At 46.1% G+C, this 12,211-nt stretch overlaps 1 protein-coding gene across 11 annotated transcripts in view; it reads right to left on the reverse strand.

Annotated features, from left to right (window-relative positions):
- PLXNA4 (plexin A4) overlaps nucleotides 1-12,211 on the reverse strand; it is a 525,349-nt gene that overhangs the window by 350,277 nt on the left and 162,861 nt on the right. Inside the window, exon 5 of one of the 11 annotated variants that reach the window (NM_181775.4) lies at nucleotides 11,146-11,397. The exons of the other annotated variants lie outside the window; for them this stretch is intronic. Coding sequence (NP_861440.2) covers nucleotides 11,200-11,397 — 198 coding nt within the window. The 3' untranslated portion in view covers nucleotides 11,146-11,199. Of the gene's footprint in view, nucleotides 1-11,145; nucleotides 11,398-12,211 lie in introns of those variants that run through there. 11 annotated transcript variants of the gene reach the window in all.

Below are 12,211 nucleotides of genomic sequence, written 5' to 3' on the forward strand. Positions count from 1 at the left end.
TCACACTGCTAATGGGGATGGATAGTGATGGCAAATAAATATTGTCACGTTAAAAAGGCCAGGTTTATATTCAAGCACACCAGGGCCACTCCTGTGTCAGTTTCAGTCATATTAGAGAAGATCAGCTCCCTGAGAACAAGGGCTAGGAAGCTAATAAATTCCATACTGGGAAGTGCCATGGGAACGTAATGAGGGGTTATCAGAGAAATTAGAATGTGCAAGACTCCGTCTCAAACAAGAAAAAAAAAAAGAAATTAAAATGTACTGAGAATTTGGGGTGGCCACCAAAATAAAACCTCTCCCACCCAAGACAGCATGAACATTATTGTGGTTAAAGGAAAGAAAGTTCAACAAGCAACTTAGAACAGAACTGACAGCATCTCTTCAAGTGAAGACTTCAGAGAAAGCTGCAAACAGAAATGACAAAAAACAAAACAAAACAAAACAAAACAAAAAAAAACAGGGCAATAAACACCTAGAAGGCGGCATTAGGGCTGTGCAGCAGAGCCCAAATGCAAAGGCAGCATTAGCAGTGGAAGCAAAGAATCCTTACGGGGTCAGACCCACAGGGCTGAGCCAAGATCAGATCTCTCTGTCTCACACACACACACACACACACACACACACACACACACACACACATGCACACACCAGCTGCAGCACTAGGGCGTTTGGGAAAGACACAAAATTAGTTTAGATTGTAAAACATTTATCCTGTAGAGGCAACGTGAGATTTTTTTCTGTAGTTCTTTTAATTAAAAGTGAGCTCATAAATCAAAGCCCCTGTTTCCAGCCTGCAGGAGGTAGTAGGAGTGAACCTAAGCCTTGCAGAGCTGAGCCTGCCCCGCCCATCCTGCTTTCCATCACCCAGGTTATTCACCCCAATTACAACACCGCACATGTTACAGGGACTCAGTGAGTAGCCAAGGGTGGCTCTGATGAATTACATCTCACTTTCTTCACTGGGGTCTCCGAAGTTCTCCCAAAGAGATATTGAGCACATGTACACACACACACACACGCGCGCGCACGCACACACACACAATTAAATCCTATCAGAACTGGTTAGTGCATCTATTTGGAGCATCTGCTGTTTCCCCTGCAGAGCCCCACCTCTGGAGACCTTCCCCTCCTCTGCATTTCTACCTTGCCTGGGCTCACATGGCTGTTTGCATTTGTGAGTCTGAAGACTCTTCTTAGAAGTTTTTTAAACACAGAAAGTCTTATGGATCCTTGCCATCTTCTTAATTTGTTTTAATTTTTTCCTCCTGGGTGAATTAAAGAATGTTCTACAGACATGAAGTCTCACTACCCTCAGCTCATTCATAAGAGAGATGGAGGGAGGGTGCATACATTAATATGCTCATTACTCCAAAGGTGACATACGTGTGGATAAAGAATTTGTCCCAAACCAGAAGTGCAGCCAGAAACAAAGTTAAGATTTCCTGGATGTCGGTTCCAAGATTTTAAGCCACACCCAGGCCTGGCTCTTAACAATTTAGAGGGATGGCTGGCCCCAGACACAGACCAGGGCAGACACCTGGGCATGAAGATTGCAGGAGTCCTAGGAGCAGTAGTGGGAGGCAGCAGGGTGGCCCACAGTAGCTCCCGTTGCCCCTCCCAGCCCTCCTTGGGATTGACAGAATGGTTGCCGTGACCAGCGGAGGAAGCACATTGATTTCCCATTTTCAAGCTGCCCCCCAGCTCCAAGCATCTTAGAGCTCTTTATGTGCCCATACTCACATGTGTTCACAGTTTTAGTGGGAAATGAGGACAAAGAAACGGAACCCCCTCTAAGAGAGAAAATGTTAGAGATAGAGATGAACTTCATTTCAGCTTCCTGCCCGGTATCTACCCTTGATGCCAGGAACCGCTCTGTCACTGCATCCCCCAATCCCACTGCTTCCTTCTGCCCCTGCCCCCGCACAGAACAAGAATCCAGACAAAAGCACAGGTCAAGGGAGAAATAAAGGTCCCCCTTCCCCTGACCCAACTCCCTCAGAAACAATCAGATTCAAGGCAGAGAGATTAAATTATCACTAAGCTAATTATGGGACTCACACTTAGGCTGGCTGCCGGGAAGCGAGGTCAGCAAGCAAGAGACATTAACATGCAAATTGAAGGCAGATGCAAGGAGCACTTAAAAAAAAGCAACCGGGAGACTGATTCCCCCCACACCCAGAGGAGAAAGAAGCCACTCTGGTGGTTGAGGCACTGTCCATCTGGGCAATGGTCAGGGCATTTGACAGCTAAATAGCTCTACTCTGTCATCATCCTGAAGCCAAAGTGGGCGAGTCAGAGGTAAACTGATTAGGTGGTGTGCCGCTAATCTCCCAGAGAGAACATGAGGGAGGTGGATGCAAGGCAGAGCCCAGCGGGAGCAGCCCCAGGCTTGAGTGCAGAGAAGGCTCTGCCGGTTCCTATGCTTGCATGTGTGGGTGCCTCCCTGTGCGTGGGTGAACACAGGTGTGTGTGTCAGCTGGGTGTTTGTGCATGTTTATGACTATGGATGTGTGTATGGAGAGGGGATACAGAATCAGGCATGTGTGAGTATATCTTATCCACCTGAAAATAGAAGGTGAAGAGCTTAGACAGAATCAAAGTGCCCCTCCTAGCATAATAGCCACCGGGCAACTCCTTAAGAGCTTTCTGAGATTGTTAAGGCCCCTGCAATTGCTGTCACCAGCTCAGCCATGAAAATACATATTATGGTACCCAGTTATGGATGACTGATGCTTCCCCAGGCATCATCAATATGATGCGAGTTTAAGACATGTTGGCCAAAAACTTGGCAGTCTACAAAATGACTTTGAGAGATAAAAATCAATGTTTTTCAATGCAATCTGCAGGATAGCTTCCTCCACTCAGGATTCTGACTCTGCAAGTCTCTTGCCTTTTCCAGAGAGGAGCAGGTTGGCAGGGAACCCTGATACGGAGGCATGTGAGCTTGTTTTAAGTCAGTAGACAGCTTTGGGTTCCTTGTCCTGAGAAATGGAATTTAATGGGCAATATCCTGCCTGTGTCCAGAGTGAATTTTTGGAACCCATGGTTGGCAAGGGGGGTTCAGAGGGGAAGTGGGGGAATCTCTGGAGCTTAAATTACTTAGGGAAAATTAATTTGGAAACTTTATTTAATTATAGGTAAAAGAAATGCTTCCATAAATTTGGGTAATTTAATTATCCAAGAGACATCTGCTGAACACAATCTAATCATTGTATTTAAGTAGAAAAGTGCCCTCACTCTTAACAAAACTAATTTTGGGGAGATACAAACATTCAGAGCCTGACTAATGAAAGAAAAGGAATAATTTCAGTTTCAGTTTTAGGAGGAAAAAAGTAAATCACAGGAAAATCATCTGAGAGAGGATTTAGTTTTTTAAAAATCTTCAACATTATATCTGGGGTTGATGATATAAAATCAGCCATATCCTATATTTTTTGCACATCTTCTCCAATACTAAGCAAAGAAGAGATCACAAGCTCTTTAAGTCAAGAAGTGCCTAGCGCATTTTAGATGACCAAGAAGATAGTTCTTGACTGAATGTTGATGTTCACAAAAATAAACCTTATGATAAACTGTATGGACAGAATTATCCACAAAATATTCATTGCCCTTCTCTCCCACCTCCCTGCATACATACACACCAGCCCCCTCCCCAGGCTCCAGGCAGGGTTATATTTTCCACACCATTCACTTTGGCTGGGCCAAAAAAATGGGAGTGGGCCACCACCAAGCAGTAGCTTTAACAACCACGGCACGGTTCTGCCATCTCTCTTTTCCTTTGGCCATGAGATCAACATGTCCCAGACAGGGGCTGCCCTTCCAAGTCTCCCAGATAAATAACATGGAGCAGGGCTGCAGCCAGCCCAGGGTGCACATGAACGTGAGTTGAAAATAGCCTTCGTTATTGTTGTTGTAAGCCACCTAAACTTGGGGGTCATTTGTTACTGCAACATAATGTAGTCTAAGCTAGCTGATACACACACACATGCACACAGGCACTAGAAGACCCTAAGCCCCAGTGGTCCATCTTCAAATACATTTTTTTATTCAGCATTTGTTACCTTCGGGCAGTACTGTGGGGGCACCTTCAGTTTAATTGGAAGAAGGTATAAACACACTGGGGAAATAGATCCAGCTATATTAATGAACTGTATTTTCTATGTGAAGAAAATGAACAAATTCCTTTCAGAAAAACATCTCAGCTACAATGTTGAAAGCTTCTATTGCCTATAATTTTGGGGTAATCAAAATGTGGCTAAATAAAAACCAAATTTATAAAATGGATACATTATGAGGCTATTAATTTTAGAAAATAATTCTCCATTTTAGAAAGAGATTCATTAGTTTCCTACAATGAATCCACATTTCCTACCCAAAAAGAGATAAAGAAGCCCACAGCCTGGTTGAGGCAGGGAAGCCATCAGTACTATCAGCATCCCTCCAGCCATGGCCCTTCCTAGGTCACAGAGCCTCTAGGGTCCCCAGCTGCCACACTAGCTCTACTTAAGGTCAACATTGTACAAGTTCAGGCCCACCTAGGGCATAAGCCAACACTGCCTAACTAAACCTCCCTGGATCTAAGAAAGACTCATTCTCTAAGTGAGGTTTAAGATGTATCTTTCTCTCCCAAGTCTGGTGTGTCTGGGAAAAGACCCAGAACAACTTTGATCATAAAGATGAAATAAAATAAAATATTCCAGGTATGCTAACCTGATGCATTGAAAATATGGTTATAATTACATGCAACATTTAAAAAAATATGTTTACTCATCACAAGTGATACTTGTAGTAGAGGAATCCTGTCTGAGACAGAAAATCATGGATAAGTTTTATGCTCTGTGGGGGAAGGAAGAACAAAAGGGACAGAGCTGAATTATCACTGGAGGAAATGTTGGTCTGTTGCAGAAAGACCAATGTAAAGAATGTATTGACTTATAGATTTTTAAAGGTAGACTGAAGATATCTAATCATTTTCATTATTATAAAAAACCACGATGTATATAAGGCACCCATATATGATCTTAGGTAGAATCCTGCCTAGAGGCCAAAATGGCAATTTGTATCTGAGACTCCCATGGGAATACCTGGAACACAGTAGGATTTTGTTTAAGTTTTGGATGCAATGATGAGGGCAGGTCGTCAGGTGGCTTCAACATCATTCTGGCCTCTCAGGTCCAACAATACCTGGGAACACTCAGATTTAGCCACCTCCAGCCCCAGAATACTCATATCTTGGTGGGGAGGTAAAAGTGGTTAAGCAGAAAGACAACCCATCTCTTTCCTTCCAACCTCCTTGCCACCAAAGCCTCAGAAGCCTTCTCCAGCAGGGGAGAAACTTTTTGGAAGGCAGCTCAAAAAAGTCTCATGGCCAGACATGGTAGCTCATACCTGTAATCTCAGAATTTTGGGAGGCCGAGGTGGGAGGATTGCTTGAGGTCAGGAGTTTAAGACCAGCCTGGACAACGTAGCAAGACCCCATCTCTATAAAAAATGTTAAAAATTAGTGGAGCATGGTGACACATACCTGTAGTCCCAGGTACTTCGGCGACTGAGACAGGTGGATCGCTAGAACCCAGAAGTTTGAGGCTGTCATGAGTTAGGATAGCACCACTTCACTTTGGCCTGGGTGACAGAGCAAGACCCTATCTCTTTGGGAAAAAAAAAAAAAAATTCCCAAAAGGAAAACTGGGACTAGGTGAGGCACTGGGAGTGTCAGAGGGCAGCCCCAAGGAAGGGAGAGCCTGTGAGGTGGGGTAAAACCCCAAACCAACACCCATTTCTCACAGATGCAACCCTTGGAGAGCCTTTCCTAAAAGGACTCAAAAGGGAAACCCAGGAAGCCAACAAAATAGAGCTGGGTCCCCATGCAGCTGTGCCATAACACAGGGCAAGGGGAATACGGCCTTCCACCCGCACCTTAGTGAGCCCGGGACCCCACAATGAGCAAGGGAGAGAATGCCGCCCGGCAGTGGGTGTCCAGGAGTGGTTTTGGGGGGAAGAGGATTGCTCTTTGTAGATTCTTTGCATTCTTTTATTAACCATTTTTTTGGGATAGGGTCTCACTCTGTTGCCCAGGCTGGGGTGCAATGGCACGATCTCGGCTCACTGCAACCTCTGCCTCCTGGGTTCAAGCGATTCTCCTGCCTCAGCCTCTGGAGTAGCTGGGACTACAGGCATGTACCATCATTCCCAGCTAATTTTGTTTATTTTTATATTTTAGTAGAGACAGGGTTTTGCCATGTTGCCCAGGCTGGTCTGAAATCCCTGGCCTCAAGTGATCCACCCTCCTCGGCCTCCCAAAGTACTGAGATTACAGGCATGAGCCACTGCGCCTGGCCTCTTTGCATTTTTTTAAAAAGAGGTTTGACTATATAAAGAACTATGTACACTTCTGAAGTAGTCTCCCTAACCTCCCATTCAATCATACTATTACCCCAAGTCCCCATATCTATAAAGAAATAGCAAAGCCAACACGGCCTCAGGCCTTCCTAACTCCACATCATCCTGAGCAAATTAATTGGTCAAGATAACATTTGTGAGCACACCTTCACTAAGTTAAAAGTACAATACTACAGAGCGACAGGAAGGAAAAGGTAAGAATGGAGGGGGTGAAAGTGAGGAAAGTAGGCAAAGGATTGTGAGAAGAGCCGAGAAGCTCAGGTTTGGGGGATAGACACTCAGAAGGAAAAAGAAGGTTGGATGTGCTGGTGGTGACAAGTGCTCCAGGTGACTGGGAGTCACAAGGAGACTGGCTAATTAGGCCCTCCATTCCAGAGCACTTGCAAAGCAATAATGACCCGTGATTAGGAAGAAGCTGTCATCCTCCAAATGGGTCAAGACAGGGACCGTGGATAACCCGTCACAGGAAAAATCACCCAGAACCACAGCACACAGTCCCACAGGCTCTAGGAGGGACAATTCCGGTGAGAAACCAAGACAAAGATGGGCCCAGTCTGTCACAGGAAAAATCACCCAGAACCACAGCACACAGTCCCACAGGCTCTAGGAGGGACAATTCCGGTGAGAAACCAAGACAAAGATGGGCCCAGTCTGTCCCAGGCAGCAGGCCAGGGGTAAGTGGAAAAGCACAGCTCGGCTGCCTCCTGGAAAACCTCCTCCCCTCCCTGTGGCCACCTCCCACTCGGCCACGGGATCCAAGCTCCAGCATAATTGCTCTCAGAAGGAAATTGCCCGTGGAGGCAGGTTGGTGATGTGAGAGCAGCCATGGAGGCAGGAGTCCCGTCGTTTCTAAGGTGGGAGCCTCTTCCTTGGTATTTAAATTTAGCCAGGGCCCTTGAGGACTCGAAATGTGAAGGCCGAGGCAGCCAGCTGAGGCTGAATGGCTGAGCCAGGGACCTGAGTCCTCAGCATGTCAGGTCCACTTCCATGCAAGCAAAGCTACAGGCAAGGGGCTGCAGAAGGGTGGATGAGACAAGTCCAGTTTTGTTTTTCTTGGTGACAAGGGTGAGAGGATTAGAACTGCTTTAGGAAGCTGAATCTGCCATCTAGGATCCATCCAAACTGATTTTCCTGTCCCTAAAGTGCTCCCCTCTTTAATCCATCCCAGGAAGATGGATTAAAGAGGGGAAAATCAGTTTCAACCGCCCTAGCATGGACATCAGGGCCTGAGACAGGGCAGAGACAGAACAGAGGGAATGAAAGGAGGGTTCTGAGCAACAGGCTCCAGGGTAGGTACCAGAGGTCCAGCCACCACCTCCTCCCTCCATCAGGGAGGTGACCTACCCTACAGCCCAGGAGCCAGGCCTTAGGTAGAGTCTGTGATATTACTCGATACGGGTCCCAGGACAACCTCGGATTAGACCGTGTGACCTCTGGGGAGTTACCCAACCCCTTTTCTCCTGGGTAAAATGGAAGGTGTAACATTTACCCCACCCCCAAAAAAAAACATTGAGGATTACATGTGACAATCAATGTAAGTAACATGTGAAAACATCTAGAACAATCCTGGTGCCTACACGGTGTTCAAAGCTCAGTAGTTCCCTCTGCACCACCTCTTTTCTGCCAGCCCCAAACACTAAGGAAACGACCCCTTCCTAAGATGCTGGGTGCCTCCCCACAGAGGCCAAAGGCAGAAGATATGGATTCTCCATGGCCACACAGAGTTCTCGGCAGCTACTGATTCAAAATCTAAGCATCTCTTGTCCATCATCGAGCACTGCCCTCTCTCCAGATGAACGGAGCACCTGGGACTGCCTGCTGAGCCCCCAGGCCTCCTTGTTGAGGAAGTTTCCTCACCCCTGGTCCTGTGGGTGTGGCGACTGCTTCACAGCCTCCTGTTTATCCTCTGGATTCTCTACTGTGTTTGCACAATCAAAGCCACAAGCCAAAAGACAGGATTCAGTGCCTGGGCCACTGGTGTTCCTGAGGAAGGCCGTGTCCTTTTCCACACTACTAAAAATGAACTTGAAGTTTGAAAGTATGGGTTCAAGTCCCCTCAATGGCTGAGAAACAAAGCCCTCATGTAGAAGGCAGCCTCCAACATAGCCCCCAGTGATCCCCACCTCTGGGTATTCATGACCTACAGAGTCCCTTCCTGGAGTGTGAGCTGGACCCACTAGCTGGCTTCTAAGACATAATACAGCAAAGGGGATGGGGTGTCACTTCTGAAACCAGGTTTCAAAAAGACAATGGCTTGCACCTTGCTCAGCCTCTTTCTCGCCCCCATCTCTCAGACATCGTTCTAGAGAAGCCTGCTGCTGCACTCCTTGTTGTGCACGTGGCCTCATGGAGGGGCCCACATGGCAATGTAGGGATCTCTCAAGTGAGGACCTGAGGCTTGCCAACAAACCCGGGAGTGACATTGGAGGTAGACTCTTCCCCATTCTGGTCTTTAGCAGTGGGATGACTGCAGCCCCAGCCAATACCATGACCCTAAGCCGGAGGACCCAGCTGAGCCATGCCCAGATTCCAGAACCACAGAAACTGTATGTATGATAATAAGTGTTGTTCAAAGCCTCTAAGTTCTGGAGTAGTTCACGGCAATCGATAACTAATACACCTGTGTCTCCTGGGCCAGGAGAGAAGGTATGGAGTGAGTGTGGGAGCTTCGAGAAACTTTTTTTTTTTTTTTGAGATGGAGTCTCACTCTATTGCCCAGGCTGGAGTGCAATGGTGCGATCTCAGCTCACTGCAACCTCCGCCTCCTGGGTTCAAGAGATTCTCCTGCCTCAGCGTCCTGAGTAGCTGGGATTACAGGTGTGCACCATCATGCCCGGCTAATTTTTGTATTTTTAGTAAAGGCAGGGTTTTACCACGTTGGTCATGCTGGTCTTGAACTCCTGACCTCATGATCTGTGTGCCTCAGCCTCCCAAAGTGCTGGGATTACAGGGGTGAGCCACCGCGCCCGGCCGAGAGACCTCTTTTAAAAAGTCACCATGGATGCTTCTATGAGAAGCCAGAACTGCTGCGAAAAGCAGCACCATGACATCATCAATAAGCAAGCCCAGTGGACACATTCCCAGGAAGTTCCCTAAGAACAAGTATGGACTTTCAGCAGACCCCAAATCAGAACATCAACTCATGGGCTGTGAATTGGTCCAACTGCCACTGCCTTCCCCATCAGAGTGGCTGAGGAAATCATAGCAATTGCCGGTAACAAAGACCTCCCCTGGCTCTACCCTCGCTAGGAGTCTTCACTGGTATTGACATCAAGATTCTATTCTCCTATCCAGAGTCTAGCAGGTGTGAGCCCAGCAGTAAAAGGACCACTTATGGTTGGGGGCTCATTCCCTCTTCTTGCCTCTGCCTCCTCCCTCTTCCTCTGTACATCATGTCTTTCATCCTTTCCCATCTTTGTTGTCTTGGTTACATGGCCAGACTCCTAATATGCTGCTAGTTTTCATTTTAATGATATGTTTTTGTAAAGCACAATATTTTACTTCAATTGCATGTGTCACTGGATAAATTCCTCTAGTGCGTCTGACATTTGTGTATCAGCTGACTGAATGCGCTCTATGATTTGGGGTGTTTGTGCAGCACTTTCTTCAATTTTAATGTGTTTGCATTTTAATTTATGATCAGGATCTTTCTATACCAATGTGTGTATATATACACACATATGATTCAAAAAAGTGGCACACGTATCAATAAATCTTGAATTGGCAAAGCTCATTTAAGACTATCTCTTTAAATCATGTGCACTAGCAATGATCACTTGGAAAACAGAATGACAAGTGTTCCTGAGAAACTCTTTGCTGGGATTTCAATGTGTGTTTCAGGAGGAAGTCAGGAGGAGAATGCAACAATGCCTAGCTATTGGCTGCAGTAGAAATTTCACGATGAGAACACCTCCCCGGGTTTATTCAGGTCAGCAAGGAGGGACCACTTGAGATCCCCCAGGGATGTGCAGGGAAGGTGGGTGGGCCCAAGGGCAGAATAGTGAGAAATGGAAAAAGATAAGAAAAGAGGGCCAGTGTGGCCACACTTACATCAAAAGGGTGATTGAGTGAGGGCTTAATAGTGTTCAAGAATATAAAATATGTCCAAGAGGATATCAACCAGCTTAGTTGCTCTTTTAGTCAACTGAGTAAAACTTGGGAAGAAAGCTTAAAACATAGCAGAAGAGATTGAAACAAGGTGGGAGGAAGGCCCATGAGAAGTGGATACATTGGTCTGAGGCAAGATCAGTCTGAAGGGCCAGTCTTAGAATTCCCAGGCTGGAAAGACTAACGACAGAATGCCGTCTGTCTGTGGTTGAACGTGAAATCAGAGGAGGGAGGGTGGCACGCTGGCACACCTGTGGGATCTTCTGCCTGGAGCCCTTCAACCTCAGCCTCCCCTTCACACAACCCACAGGGTAAGGTCTATGCAGGTTTAATATTTGCAAAACCAGGGATGGAAAATGCAGACACAATATAGCAAATAGAGGGTCTTTTCCTGTCATGGAAATCGGTCAGCCCTGATGCTTCTGCATTTCTTTCCCTTTGTGCTTGTGATCAATCACACATGAACCCATGGCAGCTTGGGCTGGAGAAACATATAGCACAACAGAACTACCTGACCGAACCCTGTATCAAATACATATGCCCTCTGCCCTAACCACATGTTCCTAGTCTATTTGGTGTTCCAACATTGTATCTCCATTTGATTTCCTGACACTTCCATCCATCTGCAGGGCTTTCTGTGCTATGAATATTTATTTTTAGTTAAAGTGGATTCAAATTTCCAGAGTAATTTTAGGAAGAATTCCCAGGTACATTTAGGAAGCAACAAAGCAGAGGCTGGACTCTCTGATCTGATATTGCTTTGTGACTTGAGCACTGAAGATACACACACAGCATCTGTTCCTGAGAAGCAATGTTCGCCCCAGGTGGGTCTCCCTCCACTCCAATCCACTCCTGGGTGATTCCCCCTTGTGGACCTGTGCCGAAGGACTAGGGAACAAAAGCAAATTAATTTTAAAACAGGCTTGAGAAAAAAAAATTAGGAAGATTAAATTAATCTACATGACAATTCCCAATAAGAATGGTTTTTGTACTATATACTCCTATTGCCTCTTCATGGGAATGTGCACCCAGTACCTATTCAGAGAGGCTGGTATGGATTAGTCTGTGCACAGACACATGGATGCATGTCCCGCAACAGGCTAATAGCAGGGCCAGCCAGAGTTCCGCTTAACCAACATCCATACAGCGCTCCACCCCCTTAGGTGTGAACAGTTTAACCTAGCAAAAACATCCAGGGAAGACGCAATCACCAGCGAGAGGAGCAATCACACCTCAAGTGGAAGTTTATGATGTTTTGGTTCACAATGAACATTAGTCTCTCCCACTAATGTCAGGCAGTAATTCACCACTGAACAGCAGCCATAAAAATGATCGCTTAGTGAAAGGAAAGCAAGAGGCAGAGAAAGCAAGAGAGGGAAAAGATTCCAGCAGAAATATTCAAGCAAAGAAATCTCGTGCTTCTGAGACAACACTGAGCTGATTGTCCCAACTCAAGCCAAAGATTTAGGTTTGCTTGGCCCTAAAGCCAGTCAAGATGGCATTTGCCTTATGATTTTTACCTATAGTGGAAATGTTAACAGTCTGTAGGTTATTGCTAAGTTCCTAGACACCTGCTTATGACTGTAGTATTTATAGGTCATATTTCTTAACACACATACCCTTAAAGCTCACCACAGGAAGAGGCTGCCAATACCATCTGCAACACACACACATCAGAAAACATCAAAGACATCTAAATTGG

The sequence above is a fragment of the Homo sapiens genome, chromosome 7, assembly GCF_000001405.40.
Source record: "Homo sapiens chromosome 7, GRCh38.p14 Primary Assembly".
In the NCBI taxonomy this organism is placed as follows: Eukaryota; Metazoa; Chordata; class Mammalia; order Primates; family Hominidae; genus Homo; species Homo sapiens.